Source organism: Homo sapiens, chromosome 4, assembly GCF_000001405.40.
Source record: "Homo sapiens chromosome 4, GRCh38.p14 Primary Assembly".
Classification (NCBI taxonomy): domain Eukaryota; kingdom Metazoa; phylum Chordata; class Mammalia; order Primates; family Hominidae; genus Homo; species Homo sapiens.
In genome coordinates, this window is record NC_000004.12 from 93,434,484 (window position 1) to 93,457,058 (window position 22,575).

The 22,575-nt window shown below is 33.9% G+C and overlaps 1 protein-coding gene across 17 annotated transcripts in view; it reads left to right on the forward strand.

Moving 5' to 3' along the window:
* The window catches only part of GRID2 (glutamate ionotropic receptor delta type subunit 2), a 1,506,491-nt gene that overhangs the window by 1,130,518 nt on the left and 353,398 nt on the right, over window positions 1-22,575 (forward strand). For all 17 annotated transcript variants that reach the window (NM_001440459.1, XM_024454024.2, NM_001510.4 and 14 more), the window contains one exon: window positions 21,179-21,491. In NM_001440459.1, coding sequence (NP_001427388.1) covers window positions 21,179-21,491 — 313 coding nt within the window. The remainder of the gene's footprint in view (window positions 1-21,178; window positions 21,492-22,575) is intronic.

The following is a 22,575-nucleotide window of genomic DNA, read 5'->3' on the forward strand; positions in this document are numbered from 1 at the left end:
GCCAACAATCTCTTCTAAACTCATCCCTTTTTAATTTTGTCTTTTCAGCCACAGCAGCAGAAAACAAAAACAAAAACAAAAAAAAACAGCCTTTATTTCCATTTTCCCCAGCTCCACTCACTATCTTGTTCCTAGCCACAATTATCTCTTCTCTGGATTGTAGCCGTAGAGGTCCAATTACTCTCCCTTTCCACTCTTGACTGCCTTCAATATATTTTAACACAGCAGCCAGAGTGATCCAGTCATTTTCCTGCTAGAAGACTTTTGATGGGTTTCCATCCCACTCAGAGTAAAAACTGTCCTTAAAATTGTCTACATAATCTGCCCAATCAATTCCCTTTGTGATCTCTTTATCTCTCCCTCTGTCACCATGCTCCAAGCTTATGGTACCCCTTGTACTTCCTTATACTCATTGAACTTGGCCTTTTCAATTTCTGTCTCTCCTATCTGCCTAAAATGATATTTCTCTGTCCACCTCATTTTTTTTTCAGCATTTGCTTAAAGCTTATTAGAGAGGACTGCCATTGCCACCCTCTTCAAAAGAACAACTTCCATCCTTTGTACTACCTATCTCTCTTATTCTGTTTTATTGTTTTTTATAACACTTACAATTATTTTATTATGTACTGACTTGTTCATTTGTCTTCCTCTGGTAAAATGTAAGCTGAAGTTGGTCTGAGATTTCATATATTTGGTTTACTACTGAAGCCTCAATATCTAGAAAATATTTGTACATAAAAGAATGAATGGTGGCCACATGGCATACATTAGGTAATAACACTCCCCTAATTAATAACCATTCAATGGGATCTCATTGCTCTTTAATAAAATCAATTAACCTACTATAGCCTACTAAATTTGGACTTTATATAAAATGTTTTTATCTTTGTTGAAAGACTACACTTTGAGCTTTTGTTCCTATTATTTTAAATATTTTGTCCATTAATTAAACAGCTTGTTATATTCAGCTACTCTCACTTTACTTCAAGTTAATTGAGAATGGTACCATTTATTGGCACAGAAGAAATGAATGAAGGAAATATTTGGCCAGGAGTTGCAGAATGCGGAATCAAAACTACTATTTTAGAAATCAGTAATAATACCCAGATGCTATTCTAAAGCTTTACAGGTATTGACTCCTTACATGCTCTTACTAATTTGATGAAATAGATAGTTAATATGCCCATTATGTAGATTTAAGACATCAAGGCTTAGAGAATTTAAATACCTTGCTCAAGGTCACATAGCCAATAACTGGAAGAACCAGGATATTAGCTTAAATTGTTTGATTCCATTCTCTTAACAACTATGGATATACCTCTTTGGAGCTATCCAAATGGAAAATGAAATAAGTAATCTGATATATGAGTCTGGAGTTCGGGTAAGGATATGGAATGGACACATGCATTTGAGGCCAGTCTGCATATAGATGAAGTTTAAATTGCCCCTCTACCTTTCTTTATCCCTACTTCTCTTTTATTTTCAGTCTCTTTCAAATTCTTTGCTCCTTCCCCATTTCTTAAAAAAGGTATTCTCTATCTTGAAAATAACCTGCTCATGTATTCTAAGCTAAATTAATTAGGTGTCTTTGGTTGCAAATGACAATCCAATTGAAGTGAAAAGATAATTTAATTCTCACAAAACTGGCCTATTCAGGGATGAGATCCAGGCTCCTTTCATCAGGCTTTGGTATCGCTTGCTCCATCTCTCAGCTGTGATTTTTTTGTGTGTGTGTTGCCCCAGTTCTCAGGCAGGCTCTCCTCTCTTGGCAGTAAAGTGACTTTTAGTAGCTCTTAGGCTTAGATTTCATCCTCTTATCTATCCCAACATAAACATAGATTCTCTTTTACCTGCAGTTCCAATACAGAGCCTCAGCTTTAACATTCACTGGCTCTGACTATGAAGTATTGTGTTCAAGAGGAGGCAGTGTTCTCAATGCCAGGCCTACACCACTTGCCCAGGTGGAGCACTGAGAGTAGGGGTAGCTACACGCAAAACACCTAGAGCAAGCCTCGGGGAGTAGTGAATCCCAAGGAAAAGTAGGATGCTGTTATCAGAGGAAGGGGAAGTAGATACCAAACAGGAAAAACAAAAGATATCCTTCAGGGGCTTAAAAACAATAGAATAAGTTACAGGAAACTATCAATAGTTACATGTACACAAAAATTTAAATCGACAGTAATACAAAATCATAATGAACTAAATTAAACTACAAACAAAATGCTAGAAAATATTTGTAAAAGTGTAATGGTGACTTGTTTGTGTCACCGCTTCACTGCTACATGAAGTAAAAATCAACAAGAAAATACTAAGACCCCACTGGATAGATATAAAAGATATGAACTTAGAGTTTCAAAAGGAGAAACTAGTAGGCAGTATAAATCCGAAAGCAAATATATTGCAATGGAGAAGGGCAGTTAATCATTTTTTAGAAAGTTAAGTTTATGAAATATGATTGATATATATTTTATTTTACAAAATAATGTAAATGTGTTATATATGCTTGGAATTATTTTATATGTTGTATTTCATAATAAAGTAGAACATCACCAGAATTTGATGACATACTTGTCATCAATAATAGATTTGACAACACTGCAATTAACACAAAACCCACAAGGAATTTAAAAGCATAGCTTGAAACTGACCAAATAACAACTATACTAGCACTGATATAGAGCTTACTTATTCCTGACACAGTCTCACATACTATGTATTTATTACCTCTCAGTACTCACAATGATAAGTACTACTATTATCTCAATGTTGTAGATGATGAAACAGAGAGAGGTGAAGTAACTTGCCCATAGTCACATAGCCAAGTTGTAGAGAATTAATTATTCAAATTCAGGAAGTTTGGCTCCAGCATCCAAGTGCTTAACTCCTTTACCAGTTTCCAGAGAAAAACAGTTTTGTCTGCAAAGCATTTAAATAAACCCAGTTACATGTCAGTGAGAAAAACAATACTCAAACAGTTCAGAGCTGTTTTTTTTTAAACCTGCATATTTGAAGAAGGTTCAGATAGGAGTTCAGACAGAGTATGAGTAGAAGACAAAACATAAGATTACATAGAGAAAGATTTGGGGTGAGATGTAAAAGATTTGCATTTCTAAACTTCTCGAAATTCACACTTCTTTCTCAAACACCTGTGTCTTCTTTCCATAAAAAATTAAAACTTTTAGAAAGGACTGCAATATACTGTACAGTCTATATCTCACTTCCCTCTTGCATTTAATCACACTCCATTTAGATGACATTCAGCTTTAATCTGCCTAGACTGCCTGTACTCACTTCATTTCTCAACCCTAGCTAAACTTGCACTTTGTCCCATAAGGCTTTCAAACTACTCCCATCTCTTAGTAATCTCGTCCTCTGAGAACACCTATTCCACTTCTTTTCAAATTACCTTTGTGTAATGTTACACATCTATCTATATATATCTACATCTATATCTATAAATGGGCATATATACAATCTCAGGAAGAGAGAACGAGAGAGATGGAGGGAGAGAGAGACCTTCTTTTTGCATAGTCCCTGTTTTGGAAATCAGAAGACTAAGGTTATGTTTACTTTGTATGCCAAGCACACAGCAGAATGCCCTAAATTCATCCATTTATCTGCACATGTTTTTGAATGCATGTTGTATTCTGGGCACTGTGCCTGGCATCATAGATACAAAGGAGTGGAAGATACTTTTCCTCGGCCTTCAAAGATCTCTAAGTGCACACGAAAAACAAATGTGTAGATAAATAATTAAAACACAGTGTGAAAAATGCCATAGGGTAATACATACAGGGTGCCATGGCAACCCAGGGGCCGAATGGCAGCTTCTGCCTGGGGAGTTGAAAAGATTTCACAGAAGAGGAGAAATTTAAGCTAGGTCTTCAGATGAGTAGGAGTATAAGAGGCAACAATAGGGATAATTATAAAAGCATGTTTGCCTTGATAAATAGTTTGCACTTTATCATTTAGCCAGTACAAATTATAAAAGAGTTTTACAAAAGAGAAAAATGTGATTTAACTTACGTTTAAGAAAGATAGCTGAGGTAGGCCTGAGAATGCATTGGAGTGAGGAAGAGAAAAAAACAAATGGCTTTTTCAACAATCTAGGGAGGAATAATGGAATGTCTACATTAAAACAACAGTAACAGGAGACTAACAAAAAGAATGAGTCTGAGGAAAGTTAATATTCTTTATTTTATTTTATTATTATTATACTTTAAGTTTTAGGGTACATGTGCACAATGTGCAAGTTTGTTACATATGTATACATGTGCCATGTTGGTGTGCTGCACCCATTAACTTGTCATTTAGCATTAGGTATATCTCCTAATGCTATCCCTCCCCCCATCCCCCACCCCACAATAGTCCCCGGAGTGTGATGTTCCCCTTCCCGTGTCCATGTGTTCTCATTGTTCAATTCCCACCTATGAGTGAGAATATGCGGTGTTTGGTTTTTTGTCCTTGTGATAGTTTGCTGAGAATGATGGTTTCCACTTTCATTCATGTCCCTACAAAGGACATGAATTCATCATTTTTTATGGCTGCATAGTATTCCATGGTGTATATGTGCCACATTTTCTTAATCCAGTCTATCGTTGTTGGACATTTGGGTTGGTTCCAAGTCTTTGCTATTGTGAAGAGTGCAGCTATAAACATATGTGTGCATGTGTCTTTATAGCAGCATGATTTACAATCCTTTGGGTATATACCCAGTAATGTGATGGCTGGGTCAAATGGTATTTCTAGTTCTAGATCCCTGAGGAATCGCCACACTGACTTCCACATTCTATGGCATAATAATAGAAATTGATAACTTGGAGGAGAAAAGAAGGAAGGGTTGAGACTTGGTGAGAAATTTAGCAGAGGAAAATGAGCAGATGGACACTCCACAACAAAAATAGGGGATGCAGAAGGAAAAGCAGATTGGAAAAGGGCAACAGGGACACAGAATTTGGCTATAGGCATTTTGATTTTGTGGTACCTGAGGAACATTCTCATGGAATTGTCTAGGAACAATTAGTCAGTGAGCATCTGGAACCCAAGTGAATAATGTTGAGAATTTCTAAAAGTTTAGGAAACATAGGTATTTCCATCACTTCCATTATAAAAACTTCATTGGGAATGTTGGATTAATAGGAAGATCATGCACAGAATGATTATTTAAGGTCCTAAATTGTTCCACCTGAGCATGGGTAAGGAGAACAGGTGTTAATTATTTTTGCTGCGAGGGGAAATAATTTAAAAACTAGAGGGAGGAGAGGGTTAACTTTGGGAAGAGAGTTCAGAGAACCTGAGAATGTGATGAGTTGTCCCCTTTTCCACCCACACTGGAGAGGGGCATGCCAGGGGCAGTTGGGAAGGATCAGGCATTCTTCCCATAAAGTCGAGCCTATCTCTCTATGCCAGCAGAACATGCTGCAGGGAGGCACAATTCCCACCATTCTGACCCACCATTTCCTAGGTAGTCAAACTTAGGGTGGCAAGAACACCTAAGATTCCCACAGTCTAGAGAAGGAGGAAGAGCTGGCAAGGACAAAGACCAGAGGAAATGGCCTCCTTGTGCAGGGAGAGCCCACCACCCACTGGGATCAGGAGAAGGTCCTGTTATGAGGAGCAACGCTTGTGAATGAAGAAGGGTTCTCAGCTGGGTGCCTGAAAGCCATCAAAAATGTTCCATGATCACACAAAAGAGTCTTACATATTTTCATTACTGCAAACCAGCCTTGAAAATATATGTATGGGCCAAGAAAACTTTGCCCACCGAAGAAGAACCTCCCTGCTACAACACACCTGCCAGTGACTGCCCAGTGATAAATGCTTGCAGGCCTTGTGAAATGAGGAGATAGCTTTGCAAAGGGGACCAGAGTAAAATACGTAAAAAGAAGGGAAGCCCTTATAGAGACTTTAAATTGGACAGTGGCTAAGACTTTCATTCTTACATGAGATTAAACAAGTAATAATAGACAGATTGAGTTTCCCAGAGTATGTCAGCTGTACACAGGCAGGAAGTTAAAAAAAATACATGTGGTCATAAGAATACATGTTTGCACGTCTGAATGGTAAGTGTTCAAAATCCACTGGATATGCATATAGGATGAAACTAAAATATAGATATGGGAGATCATACAACCTGTTTGTATATAAGTACAAGAGGAAAACATGGCCAAAAATATTTGTTGTTGATAAGGAAGGATTTTAACACTAATGAAGGAAAAGGATAACGAGAGATCTGTGAAAGGAAATAAATTATGTAGATGCAAATGACTTAGTGAATGGCTGTAGGAGCAATTTTCTAAATTTGCAGGTGATATTTAATTGGCAGACATTGCAAACAGCAAGGAGCAATTCAATCAGATAAAGAACTTGAATCATTAAGTACTTGGCCTAATAGATGGCAAGCGCAGATAAGTGGTGAATAATAAGTCTTGAATCAAAACTAAAGAACAGAGAGTGAACATTTGCCAAAGGGAATGATACCATCCAGGAATGGCTCTTAGATTTAAGGAGAACTTATAGACAAGGACAAACAAAACTTCAGTAAAATATTACAAATAAAAAGATTTGGTGGGTTACAGCTTATCCAGCTGAAGCTGTGATGAGAAAATCTGACAACTTAAGGATAGATAAATCCTGAAATCCACGGTTGGCTATTGAAATTCCATTTGTTACCTAGAATTTCATCTATCCCTGATCATGGTTTGGAGATAAAATTAATGAGTAAGATAACATCCAAGCATATAAGAGGTTACAGATTTGGGTGAGGATACTATAAATAACTTTTAAAGACATTTCGGATATGAAATTCTCTATGTTCTATGGGCATAATTGTGAGGTATTGTGTTTAGATTGCTTGGTCATTTTTATTTAACATGCCAGTTCTAGTCTACGTTAGTCTGGAAATTATAAACATAGAGAAATATGCTACAAGTAAAAGAGAATAATAAAAATTTATTATAGCCTAGAAAGGTAGTTGATGCAATATATAATATATTTCCTCTTTCTCTTTTTTTGCAATGGTGAATACTTTACTAAATGAAAAGGTTAATTTTAATATTAAAGAGAAATGGAAACATCCTTTAGTACAACATTAAAACCACAAATGGAACCTTTAAATATTCACTCACTCTAGCAATCAATGTTCCAACCTCATTTAAAGGATTTTTTTTAACTTGACATACAAATATTCAGAATGAATATTTGGAAGCAGAGCCACGAGCCATACCTTGAAAGATAACTGCGGACTTACTCTTGCCTGCCATTTGGGTACTTCAGATTTCAGTTGTTCTAAGTCTCAATGATCCTGAGTTTTCTTTTTGTAATTTGGTAATTTTGTAATGGCAGGCTTTAAAATAAGTAAAGGTTTTCTTAACTAAGAACAAAAAAAAATCCGGAGACCTAACAAGGCTCAGCTGTGTCCAGGTAGGAGATGACTGCAGTTTGGCTTCAGAGGCTCCCTCTAGCAGTGTGAGGACATCTGAGTGTCTCTCCTACTCATTTTATATTTCATTTGATACTGCACAGAATCACTAGGAGAACAGCCAGAATTGATTTACTTCTCATAGAGACAAACTGTTTCTGGGAGCTAGTTATCTTCTTATTAACAAAGAGCTTACATTCCCCTCCCCTCCAGAGCTCCTAAAACATCTATATAATAGCTACATTAAGTGAATTCTACAATGATTGAAAATTTTACTATAATGAAGATAAAAATTCACTCAATTCTAGTTCTTTTATCCTTGATTTGCATTTGACTGAAATGTGTATTTGCAGTTTGGGCATTTCAGTCAGCGATTGCTCCTGTATTCTTTGCCCATAAGCAGCCTTCAGATGGCCTCTTAGAAAATTGAAGAAGTCTCTACATGACTGGAAAACTCTTTCTGATGGTCTGTTTCTTCAAAGATATAGCATTACCTCTTGGGAATTATAGAAACAATATATATTGTTAAGCCTCTTCTAATGCTACTGTAATTTATAACTGGTAACTTTTTCCCCCACTTAGCATTCAATAAGCATTTATTGGGGCCTAATGTGTAGGTGGAATTTTGGAGAATACATAAAGTATAGAACACAGAGTTCTTGTTCTTCAAGAGCTAAGCAGCTCTATAGAGAAGAGAGAGACAGAACGACAGAGACAGAGACAGAGAGAGAGAGAGAAGAGATCAACACATATCCACCACTTGCTTTACTATCTATACTTCAACTTTTGGTGGACTCATCCCATCTTATGGATTCAATTATCATCTATAAGTAGACCACTTCCCCAATTGTTTCTTTAACCCAGACCTCTCACCTGAACTACAGGCTTTTATTCCTCACAATGCCTTCAGCATTTTCCATTTCTAATGGGTACCTCAAACATTAAGTGTTCAAAACTGAATTTCTGATTTCACCCCTTTCCCCCATCCTTGTCTGTTGTAGTGTATGGCAACTCCAATTTTCAAGTTACTCAGTGCAAAACCTTTGAGTTGTCCTTGAATTCTCTTCTCTCTGTCACGCCTTATATACAATGCATCAGCAAATTTGTCTGGCTGTAAATCTGAAATATACCATAAATATAAATACGATCACTTCTCACCACTCGAAAGCCACTATTTTTCTCTCTTTAGGACTATTTCAATGGCCCTTTAACTGCTCACCAAGCTACTGCTCTTTTTCCTATTTCTGTTAAAAAATCTATTTTTAACAGAGCAGCCAAAGTGATTGTTTTAAAATGTCAGATCGTATTACACTCTCCCTATAACCCTCCAATAGTTTTCCTTCAACTCTAATTTACATAATTCCCTATAATGCCTTATATGTTCAATTATATACATATACACTTACCACCATCTCTGTGAAATCTCTTTCTCCTACTTCCCTAGTATGAGTATTGCTTAGGTATAAATCAGAACTCAGAAAAATAAGAGTAAGAATTAAAAAGGACATATGTGCTGAAAAAAATAGAGCAATGAATAAATACTGGGGAAGTAATTAGAAGGAAGAGATTATACAGAAACCATAAGGCAAAAAGTTAATCAAATTTATCAAGCATATTATAGGGGACATGGCCAACTCCACAATTTGTTCACCTATAATCTCAGGCAAGCTATTTACCTTGTCTGAGTCTTAGATTTGGCCTCAGCGAAAGGAAAGTGGTGATACATCATGAGCAGGGTTGCAGCACAGCTGGCATAAATGGAGGTTTATCCCACACATGTGGGCTGAAAATATTAGAATCCAAGCTACCAAGGTCAGAGTGCCTGGCTAAGAGCTTCATATGGAAAAAAAACCTTTAAGTCAATGACAAAATGGGAGAGACTTTTTTTTTTCAGGCAGTATATAGCCAAGAATCTATTCCTTGAATGCTGGAATTGAAGGTTATATAAAAGCACTTATTACTACCAAATTGCAAAGAACAAGCAGAGCAAGTAAGTTGAGAGAGAGAGAGAGACATCTTTCTTGGAGAACATTTTTGGAAAATGACTGTGGGCAAAGCAATGTGAAAATATTTAGGGAGACAGAAGACTACGAAGATAAAATACCTATATCAAGAAGTTTATATTGAAATTGAGAATATAAAACAGATATTATGGGATAAGTCCCATAGGAGAGATACAGAAAAACAGAGAAATGAAGGATAACTGTAAACTCTAGGGAGGCAATGTCACAAACTCAGGTGAAAATACATTAGAAAAGGAAAACTAGGTATTTTTCAGTATATATAATCAGGCTGGAAGATAAAAGCTGGTTCAGAGACTAGTGAAAACAAATCAGGCTGGAAGATAAAAGCTGGTTCAGAGACTAGTGAAAACTAAATTGTTCCTATAAGGACTTTAAAAGGAGATCAGCATGTGAGTAGACTTGGAGGCCTGCTAAAGAGGGAGCTAGGAGAAGGAATAGCACGTGGTTTCTGAGAAACAGTGTAGCAATAAGGCTTATCACACATAAACTAAACTAATCATGATGTTTTTGTCACTATTGTGCTGTCAGAGAAAAAAATCTATTGAAATAATGAAACATACTAATTTTGAGAAACATCAGTGTGGCAAAACCCAAGAAACACTTTTCAAATGAATATACTCAAATTGCAAGATCAAACATCTATTAATTATAATAGGTAAGAAAAAGGAAACATTCAAAAAAGTCCTTCAAAGCGAAAATATGTAAATTAGAGTACCTTCATAATCAATAAACACTTATTGAGCATCTATTCATGTGCTATCAATGTGTTAAAAATACAAAAGTGACAAAAATAATTATTGCTCAAAATTCTGTGCAGTATTTAGAAAGATTGGGTAGGGATAAACATGTATTTCTCTAAGATTACATTACATTATGATAAGGTTTATGGAAAAAATGTACATACCTATGTATATGTAAAAATAGAAAAGAGTCTAAAAGAACTTTTTCAATCTCAAAACAGTGTTTACATATGAGGAAATGTAGCGATGACTGTTCATTGTTTATAAATATCTGTTCTCTCCTTTCTTAGTAATACAGCTCCTGAATCATAATAGCCAGATACAGACTTCCCACAATATGAATTTCCCAGTTTCTCTCCTTAGCTAGTGTGGTCATGTGACTAAATTGTAGCCAATGATATTTAAGCAGAAATATCATGTGATGCCTCTGAGAAATGTTCTTAAAGGAAGGATTTTTATTCTTATTCTTATCTTCCTCCTTTCTTCTGGCTGGAATGTTAATAGGATGACTTGTGTTCAAGCAGCCCTCTAAAGACATGAGTTGGAAGCTATGTACTGAGGAGCACAGAGCAACAAGAGAAAATAAGTAAAATAAGTTTGGTTCTTAGCTCTGGAAGCGTGATAAACCTGGGATAGTCAGCCAGGGAACTTCTTTCATGTTGATTTTTAAGCCAGTGATATTTTGGGCATTTCTTTTACCTGCAGGAAGAAAATAGGCTGATTTTATGTAATTTGACCCTTTAAAAACTAGAATATATTCATACATAGTTTTTACAGTTCAGTGTTTAAACTTATTTATTTTTCATCTTAGTTTTGCTTCCCTATGTTTTGTAAATGGTAAACTTATTAGCCATTCTGTGGTATATAAAAGTTTCACTTTTATGTTTTGTTTTTATATTGGCCCAACTTCCATGTTCAGCTAAATACACTAACATAATTTAAATTACTGCATTTCATTGGGAATCCAAGTTAGAAAATTCCTTTTCCCACATTTTTAATACCTAAAACTTGGGAAATGAATAACATTATAAGTACTTGAAAATAATATTCACTGATTTATCATGTGTAAGCCCTGTCGAAATATTTATTTTCTACTGAGCTTGGAAGATATTTTAAAATGATTCCATTAAAGAAATTTTTAAAATTTTTGAAATATCTATTTACTTAAGATGTTGAAGAAAACATAAGCATCTACCTTTACCTTCCATTTTTTAGATCTCATATGATATGACAAATAAATAGAAAATTAGAGGAAATTTTACAACAGTACTCTAAATTAAGTAAGGGTACCCTCCATGAACCAGGAATTGGCAGATTTCAAAAAAGCACACTCCTAAGAAATTTCTGTTTTTCACGTGACCCTGACAAAATCCATTAATTGTCCTAATTTGGAAGGGTACAAACTGCAGAAAAGAGCAGGGTATTAGCTCAGCAGGAAGCATAATATTTCATTGCCAAGTTGCTGTTGTGACTCAGTAGCAGCACTTCTGTTATCTTCTGCATGGCTCCTCACTCTTCAGCGAGCAAATTAGGACTCATTCACATGGTGATCCAGGGTTCCTGGCACAGCAAGATAGATGGCAAGCCATTGTGCCAGCCCTCCAATGCTCTGTTTGTATCACATTGCTTTTCTCCCATTGATCAAAGCAAGTTCCTGGCTAATCCCAAAGTTAAAGGATAGGGAAATAGACTGCACCAATTGTTGGAAGAGCTGAACAGTACATTGCAAAGGGGCAGGAATACCAGAATAGGAAGAACTTTGTGGCTATCTTATGTAATCTGCCGTGCTGATCAGTTAGACTAATAAACCAAGAGAAGAAATGAAGGATAATAAATTCAAATACCTAATAGAGATCAGGCTGTTAAGGTATAAAAGTAAAGTTGGGTATAGTACCTATGCACACAATGTGCTTGAATTGTGAGAGCTAAAGTGAATTGAAGATCTCATGAACTTTCCAAGGGGGCACTGTCTCTCAAATTCAACAAGTTGCTTGAAACAGACTCCAGCAATTTTCACATGAAATTGTAAGTTTGAATTTCTATGTAGACTCTACTAATTTTGAATTCTGGCTGAAGTATTTTAAAACTGTGGTTGAACATAACCACATCTGTAAGTTACTTATGAATCATGGACCATCAACATGTGAGTTTTGATAGAGAAGACTGAAAGGATAACATTTTACAACTCTATTAAATATAATATAAATAGTACAATTAATATATATTTTATATAAATTTGTGTCCTATAGACACTGAAGACCCATAGGTTAATTACAAAAATTGATAATACATCATGTGCCTCCAACTCCAAAATTTATATACAACATAAGTAATACCTAACAAATTACCAGATTAAAACACAATAAAATTAAGATGAATAACATTTTAAACAAAGACAAAATCTCAAACCACTTGGAAGTAAAAATAGCAAATGAGCAAAAACTCTCATACACTGTTCCTAGAGCAAAGAGGAAATAAAAACTAAAAGTATAGACTATTTAGAAAATAATGATAACAAAAGCACTACATGTAAATTGTTTTTAAAACTTTGCTTACAGAAACGTGTTCATCTTTAAACTCTACTTAATTACTAAATTAAAATAATGAATCAAGCCTTCAACTCAATAAACAAAATATGAAGCCATTAAAGCTTGAGTTAAAATGCATTAAAATCTGTATTTTAGAATTCATAAATCAATAGGGTTAATTGAAGGGAAAAAACAGTTCTTTGAAAAGATATAAAACAAAAACAAGCCTTGGGCATGTCTGGTTTTGGAAAATGAAATGCATAAATAAAAGTATCAAAAACATGTGTACACCACAATTAAGAAAAATTTTCACAAGCATGATGGAACAGTAAGTACAACTTTATCGTAATTATTTGAAAGAAACGTATGGCATGAATTATTATCAAGGAAAACATCCCATCATTAAAATTGACCCAAGAAGAAATAGAAGACAATTAAATATATGTCCAATATGACAAAAAATGTTATTTGTTTACAAACAAATTAATAATGTTATCTCCTGCCTGTTTTCTTAATTTCAGGAAAGAGTAGGCCAAATGATTAAGACATTTCATAAAAGTTACCCAATTAATTCTGAAGAGCTAGAGTAATTCCCAAAAGAATGGCTGAAAATGAAATCACATACAAAAAAAGAAAAAACATTCAATATCACTTTAGTAGTGGTAATAAAAATACTTATTAAGTGATAATTGAATTCTTTTACAAAATTCTTTTGGATATGAATATCCAAAAATCTTAAATGTCCTTTCATATTTAATCCGTCAGCATATTAGAACATAGTAAAGTATTACCAAACAGGGTTTATTACAGAATGAGCTTCATTCAACCAAAAGATAACAGGAGAATCTTTGGCAAAATATCTAATAGTAAGCAAAGTTGGAGACATGGATTAGATAATAATATGAAATCATCATGTGTTCTAAAAATGAAAGAATGGTATTAAAAAATCAAAGGAAAAGGGGAAAGTAGGGGAAAATAGGATATCGTAATGCACTTTAGGGAATAAGTGGAAGTAACAGATTTTATTTAAAATTTTCAAAACGTTAACTGGAAAAAAAGGAGTAAAAGCATAATAAAATTTTTAAATATTGAGGTTAAAAACTATAATAAAAGTGCAAATCTTTCTAGATAGTAAAAGAAAAACCTACCAAAGAAAACATGCTACATAGAAAAACACAGTAAATATAACAAAATCTACACAATAATAAATAACATAAAGAATAGATTAAATAAGATACATTTTTGGGATATGGATCAAACACTACACCCTCATAATATGCCATTTTCTCAAGCATACATGGAACATTGACAAAAGTCAATCATATATTGATTGGCCTCAAAGAAAACACTATTAAGTTCCATTTAAGTACTTTATTACAAATAGTGTTCCCTCATCAAAATACAATAAAACTAGAAATTTAGAAGAACAGTAAGAGAAGGCTTTTCACCTGAAATTAAGAAATCATCATGTTAAACAACTGTAGAAAAGAGAAAAAGAAACAAAAATTATCTTTAAAATTAGTGGTAATAAAAATACTATATATCAGAATCTGTAAAGGATACTTAAAGGCGTAATTAGTAGTCTTGGCCCTCCCCTTCCCTTCCCTTCCCTTCCCTTCCCTTCCCTTCCCTTCCCTTCCCTTCCCTTCCCTTCCCTTCCCTTCCCCTTCCCTTCCCCTTCCCTTCCCCTTCCCTTCCCTTCCCCTTCCCTTCCCTTCCCTTCCCCTTCCCTTCCCCTTCCCCTTCCCTTTCCCTTCCTTCTTTTCTTCTTTCCTTCCTTCTTCTCCATCTCCCTCCTATTTTTCCTCCTTCCCTTTTTTTTCCACCCTTTCTTCCTTCCTTTAGCATTTCTTCAATCCTTACTTTCTCCCAAGCAAACCTGGAATCTTTACATTGTAATATTATTTAAAAGCCAAATAAAATCAAATAATATTTAAGAAAACTATCAAGAAATTTCAAATATTTACAAAAATTTATTCTCTTGAACAGCAAGAGAAGGAAACAGTTTAGTAAGTTAGATAGGCAGAAGTAGACCTAGTACTTGTGAAATGTGTGCCAAAACTCTTCAGTAACTATTTTCCTTCTGCTTTCTGTAGAAAATATTTAAAGTTGAAATGAAAGCATTTCCTGAAGTGATACGTGAATTACTACAAGCAATATGTACAAAACATGAAAAACAGAGGTGATATTTAGTTTGGAATTGTCATATTCAAAATCAGAAATAAAATTTTCATTCTGATAGAGCAGTGAGTTTGATTTTATTCTCAGATTAAATTACAGAATGGATTATTAATCAGATGTGTTTTAGATGATTAAAATAGCAGTTCATGTTTTTGATAGCATTAGCTATTCAGGATCAAATGAATATCTGATTAAATATGTATTTTGAGTTCAATAATGCCTTTTACAAAGCACTTTAAACCCTATAGACAAACGTGGCTTGATGGCAGTGTAGTAAGGAATATTTATAGGTGATTGAAAAGCTATATCTAAAGTTTTAACTAGTGAGCTATCATCAAAGTGCATAGAACTTTAGAGGCATATTGCCATACTTTGAACTTGCCAATGTATGTTTCATCAATACTTTACTAGTAATGTGAATGAAGAATTAAAGGCTTGCTCCTCAACTTCTGAATGGCTCAAACATGGTAAAATAAAGTTGACATAATGAATGAGAAGTATAGATTACAGTAGATGTGAAAAATACAAAAGAACCAAAGAATGAAATTAAAGAGACAAATATAAAATCTAACATTTGCTTCAATTGCATAAGACTTTGTGGGCTACTAGTTTGATAGTGTTTATTTTAAAAATATTTTTAAAATTTTATTTGACCTTAAATTTAGCATAAGGCAGTATTAAAAATCACCTAATAAAAATGATACAGCCTCCAATTTTATTTAAAAAGTGTATAATTTATATCAATTGAGGAAACTGATTATTTAGACTGTGTTCACAGGAGAATGACAAGTATTTTGAGGGACAGAAAATCATATCTTTGGAAAAAGTTTGAAAGCTTGTCATAGGGCAGATCTATTTAGATTGATAACATAATGTATGGATGACAAAACTAAAACATCTAATAAAGAGTACAGGGAAGCAGGTATTGATTCATTATAAAATCAAAGTTTTATAATAATTAGAATATTTCAAATGCAAAATTTTCATCTTAGAAAAAGCAACTGGACTTGGTGTAATGTTAAAATAATGCATGTAAAACACATGATACTTGGTATATAGTAAGCACTAACTAAATGCATACTATTAATCTTACCAATATAATGTTCTTAGCATTATATTCAAGAATAAATTAGATCTTTAGTTGTTACATATAATCATTTATTTTAGATTAAATTTAGAGTAAATGTATTTCAATTTGTCTAAGCTTCTAAGATTCAGTGATTATATTGCTTATTAGTCATGCTCCATTGTATCATCCATCCATATCCTTTTCATGACTTGAGAGAATGCAAATCTTGTATCTTCTCTCAAGGAAAATATTATGACTATATAATTAAAATAATTTTAAAAATGTATTTATATTCCAGTTTTAGTGCTAGTCCTAATCAAAATTTAAATAATCATTTTACAATAAATATTTGACATATAATATTTTGTAATATATTGAATTTTCTATAGTAGATGCCTAATTATCTTAGCTATTTGCAAATAATGTAAGTGTAAATATACTGATAAATCAAGAACCTTACTTTAATTATTGACATAATTATTCAGGATATTAATCTTTTATCATTGCTATAAAACAGTCAATTTTCATATTGCCATTTTCTTTTTATTATTTAAATACCTCTCTCTGTTGGGAATGCAGACAAAAAGATGGAAGAGATTTATAATAATTAGGTAATATAAGTTTAGTAGGGGCTCCATCTTTATTTATTCATATATTCATAGCAAGTATTTATTGACCATGAATTCTATGCCAGAAAATGTGATATGTAATTTTTTTAAAAGTCACAATCCTTGCTTTCATGGAGCTTATGGCCTAGTGGAGGAGTCAAACATTATTGAAAAGATCATATAAACATATGTAAGATTGCAGCTGTCATAGTGGCTAGGAAAGTGAGGAATGTAAACTTCTGATAGTGTAAACAAATTATTGTTCCAATCAAAGAGATAGTGGATAGCTTCCCTGTGAAAATGAAAATCAAGCTGACATATAGATATAAATGAGTGTTTACTTGAAGTTTCAGGAGGGTCAATCCAGACTGTGGGAACAGCATGTACAAAGACCATGCATCAGGAAGAACTGCTGGAAGGGAAAATGGTACAGTATGAATATGTTGAAGCAGGTTGGGGATAGCCTACGTAAAGGTGTGTAGACCATGTTTTTAATCTTTCTCCTAAGAGCCATGCAAATTCATTGAAAATTTTTAAAGTGTGGCAGGAGACAGGATCAGATTTGCTCTATAGAAAGACTACTTTGGCTACAATAGGGAGACTGAAGAGGAAGAAAGGTAGATTTCAGGTAGTCTTACAAGGAGCTGGAGCCTAGGAAAACAATGAAAGCTGGAAATAGTAAAGAAATGAATGGATATTAGGATGCTCAGGAGGTAAAATCAATAATGATAGATTTGATAGGGGGCATAGGCTGGAGAAGATAATGAAGCTAACAAGTTTTATGACTTATATAAAAAGACACCATTAAAGCAAGAGATGTTGGAAGAGGACTGGTTGAATATCATAAGTATGATGTTGGCCATGTTAAATGTTAAATTTGAGGTATTTTTAAGTCATTTAGTAGAAATGTCAATTATGTAGTTGAATAAATCAGTCTAGATCCCAGAGCTCAGATACACATCTAGAAATAATACATTTGTAAATTGTGTGTAGATGGGGACAATAGCAGTAATGAACACAGATGGAATTGCCTAGGCAGAAGAGCTCAAATGAGAAAAGGATGTAGGCCCAAGTCCAGAGAACTGCTAACATGAGCTTGAAAAAGGAACTGAGAAAGAGGTGTATGTTATGTCATGAAATTCAAGGGAAAGTTGTGTTTGTGATGGAGGGAGAAATCATCAATGCTAAATGTCAAGAGACCTGATTAGATGAGCTTTGAAGTATATCCACTACGTTCAACAATACAATAATTAAGAAGTACTTTTTCCATGAGGAATAGGGTATCCAACAATATGGGGAAAAAGAGTTTTCTCAGAGTGACTGGGATATATAAAAATGGAGAGAAAATGTGGTAATGTGGAGTAACCAGAGAGTAGAGGGAAGGGCTCAATCTCTTTGATTTCATTTTAACAAGAAACAAAGAATCTTTTAATGGGAAATCTAGTTAATAGGATGATGTTGAATGCATGAGACAGGAACTTAAGTATCTGAAATAGAGAGAGATTGATACATTTAATGATGGAAGGTTAGCCTTAGGAAAGGGGACAGCTCCTGTATTGTGGAAGCAGATAAATAGAGTAGACTGGGTATGGGCTATAGGTTGGAACACAGAAATAAGTATGATTTTTAATCTCCCATCTTCTATGTTCTCTATATAATAACAGTAGGATTAAAGATGTGACAAGTCGTTGTAAAAAGTGGACAAGTGAGTTGACCAAATAAATAAAAACCTAAGAAGGGTAAGAATAAATAATTGTCTTTGATTATTTCTGGTTATGTTGTTTATTGATATTTAGGAAGTTTTAGAACTGTCTTTCTGAATTAGTGGTCCTTGGCCTTTTTTTTTTTATTATACTTTAAGTTTTAGGGTACATGTGCACAATGTGCAGGTTAGTTACATATGTATACATGTGCCATGTTGGTGTGCTGCACCCAGTAACTCGTCATTTAACATTAGATATATCTCCAAATGCTATCCCTCCCCCTCCCCCCACCCCACAACAGGCCCCGGTGTGTGATGTTCGCCTTCCTGTGTCCATGTGTTCTCATTGTTCAATTCCCACCTATGAGTGAGAACATGCGGTGTTTGGTTTTCTGTCCTTGCTTGGCCTTTTTTTAAATTTTGCTTCAGTGCAGCACCTCTAATATAAGTAAGGACTACCACATACTCATTATCCATTACAGTGTTCTGCTGTATCATTGATTCTGAAGGATGGAGTGAAGCACCTCTTTAGGAAGACTATACAAAACTCAGAGATGGGAAAGAGAGAGAGAGAGAGAGAGAGAGAGAGAGAGAGAGAGAGAGAGTGTGTGTATTTGTTAGAAAAAGTTCATTATATGATTCTGATATGCCTCCCACAGGGAGGCTAGAAATTTCTCCTTGAAAATAGAATAGCCAAATGTTGAAAATAGACCAGAATTTAGGAATTTGTTTATAGATATATGACAAGTAATTGTTAAATTTAATAAATAGTGTAGCACATACAAATAATCAGCTCCCTTTTCCTAAATAAAAAACTTTAGCTATTTTTATTCTATTTTAAAAATTCACTTCGTGATATTTAAAGGTATCCATTATTAAAATCAGTAACCATTCCAATTTATAATCATTTAAAAGTAAAACATATAATTATTTATTAGAAAAATATTTGTGAACATTTTATAAATATTATCAACATGTTGTCAGTAAATTCCTCCTCAGGTGGAATTTTCTGACTTTGGTTGAGTCATTAAATGTTTTGGGTCACTAGTGATCAATTAGTAAATTACTGATCCATAGTACTTTAATGGCCTGAAAAAGTAAATGCATCTTCTGAGCACCTAATTGAATCTTAGTTATTTATTCATCATTAAAATCAAGATAAATGAGTCAGCTCACAATAATGAAACTGAACAGTTACATTCATTTCACAAATAGATTAAACTAAAGCTCAGAAAAGACGGGACAAGGGAGTTAAACATCCAGGTTAGATTTTCCATCTGAAAAGACCCAATTCCCAATATCTTGCTATAAAAATTAAATACATATATGAGTTTGAAAGCAATATTTTTCTGCAAGTTCATTTTCATATAGCGTTATTAAGTTTAATACCATTCAGTTAATAATTGTAGATCCATGGTACGTATACTAATATGGTCTTGTTATAATGTAAATAGTACAGTTTAAACAGCAAAATTTCACACTGTTTTAATATAAAAAATTTCCTAGAACCAATTACCCTGAGTGCCTACTATATGGTTCATTTGGAAAATGAATGATAGCTGCAATATGGTAAAATGATTATGAGCACAGCCTTCGGAATAAGTAAAACATAGCTTTAATATCTAACTTCTGTACTTACTAACTGAGATCTGAACAAGTTACTTAAACTTCTAAGGTTTAGTTTCTCCACTTACGAAATGGAGAGGAAAACACATAATTCATAGTTCATTGTAAGGACTAAGTAAAAAAAAATACTTAAATACTTAGCACAGGGCCTAGCAACAAAGATATATGAACTCGGTACACACAGACATACAAACACGTACCCACACTGCTTAACTTTAGCTAGAATATTTTTAAAAGCATTATTAGTTTGAGACTAGATTCATCCAAGTTGGTTTAGCATTCTACTAGGGATGTTACTTTTCATATCTTTCTTTGTTTTTGTTCCCAAAAGCTATAAACACAAGTTTTATCTTCTTTCCTGAAACAATTAAAAAGAAAATACAAGAAAATGTTCAAAAAATAATTTACTAGTGTTTTTGTTTGTCTGGAAGGGTCATCCTGCAGCTTTAATCACAGCTGAAGATCATTATTTCAAAAAAGACACATCTTTTAGATATTTAAATATGTATTATCATATTATGCAGTTTAAATGTGAAGTCATCTACCCTCTGGTTTACTGAGATTCTGTTACATTTTAAATAAATAGTAAATGCTGTAGTTAAGAGTGCTATCACTGAGAATCTAAGAAGACACATTAGAAAGGGATTATTACTCCAAGAAGAATTCTCTTTCCTTAATCATTACTTTTTCATTAAAATATTTCTGAAGTTTATACAATACAATCATAGTAGTGACCTTAGGCATATGACACCTTAGTGCTATAAAAACTCTAACAAATCTGTTTAGAGCCCAATAATATAAATTTCTGTGAAGAGAAATATAAACCAATGGTAAAATGCCATGTTGAAGTTTCTAAATAGCCCACCTAGTAATTTACATGTTAAGAACATATTGAATATCTTGGGAACATGTTCCTAGAAAAGATTCTCCATTATAAGCTTTTCCTTTACTGTTAATGATTGCTTTGATAAAATGACCCACGAAAAAAGACAATTTTCTCCCTGTGTTATCTGTGTCTGAAATATTCTTCACTGATTTTACATATGCTGATAATATGAACAAGGTAATTTGTCTGACTCTGGTGGGGCAAGATTTTCAGTAAGAAATGCAAAATTCACACATAGCTCTTCTGTAAGAAGTCTATGCAGTGTTTCAGTTTATATAAAAAGATTTATATTGCCTGAGGCATCTATTTTTTTTTCCTCGAGGCAAGCTGAAGTGGCACAAATGAAATTGTTTTTCACACTGTTAATGTATTCCTTTCTCTTTCAATTTCTCAGAGAGCCGACATAGGGATTTCTGCTTTAACCATCACTCCAGATCGTGAAAATGTGGTGGACTTTACGACACGTTACATGGACTACTCAGTGGGGGTACTACTTCGAAGGGCTGAAAAGACAGTGGATATGTTTGCCTGTCTTGCACCATTTGATCTCTCTCTATGGGCTTGCATTGCTGGCACAGTCCTTCTGGTGGGTCTACTGGTCTACCTCTTGAACTGGCTTAATCCCCCACGATTACAAATGGGATCAATGACGTCTACTACTCTCTACAACTCCATGTGGTTTGTGTATGGATCTTTTGTACAACAAGGTAAGGAGCAAAAGTACATTCTAGTATTTAAAAAAAATAGAATGTGATGTTTCCAAAGCCATGTATTCAGTTAATAAGGTTCTGTATCTGACATCAATAAGTGTTCTAAAGGGTACTCACAGAAATGCTCAGAAAAGAACATTTGCTACTTCCTCCTAGTGGATCTCAGACACACCAAGTTTCCAGCAATAATGGTTCATTGTCTTTTGATGTAAGTTTAATTTCATCAACAAAGGCAAATGTGAATGTCAAAGGTAAAGCTCACAGAAAACATCAAGATCAGATTTTCCTCTCCAAACTCTGACTTTCTGAGAAATAGCCTTATAAGGATGAAATTACTTATTACCAGAGAAGGTACTATTTAATTATTTACATATGTAAGAAATGTTAGGACTTGTTCTTTGTTCAGAGACATTATTTCATGCATTAAAAATATTGTCATTGAAAAGACTTTGGTTAATTTGAGACTGATGAGAAATTTTGTGTTTTATCTTTTACTTTGATATGTAATCTTTACTGGTGATTTAACTTACAATTTCACTATTTTCTAAAGAATGTCATTGCTCTGTTATTTAATATCCAATCTGCCCAACTCTTTAAACTTGTCCAATTAATTATTTGGCTCTCACTGTTTCAAAATAGAATAATATTTATTGCATTCCTTACTTGAGACTATTGCCTCATAGAGAATGAAATAGTAAGAAAATTGATAGTCTCTTGCAAGCTCTACACATATATTGAAGAGGAGGATGTTTGCTACAATGGAGACATTATACTTTTGTGCTAATATTTACAACTCTCAATAACATCTTTCTTTTTATTCCTATTTTCTCTTGGACCTTCCATTTAACTTCATTTTTCTATTCTAATTTAATCAAAGATTAGTCTAGAACCTTCATCTGACTTGCTAACTTCTAATCTAGCCCTTAAACCTTTTGTAAGCATGCTTTTCCCTCCACCCTTCCATATCCAGGGCTCTAAGCTTACCTGTTACTGTATATTTTTCACAGACACTTTTAGTTCTTTCATTAATAATTAATTCAGTAAATATTTAATCCACACTATCTAAGTAGAACTTTCCTAA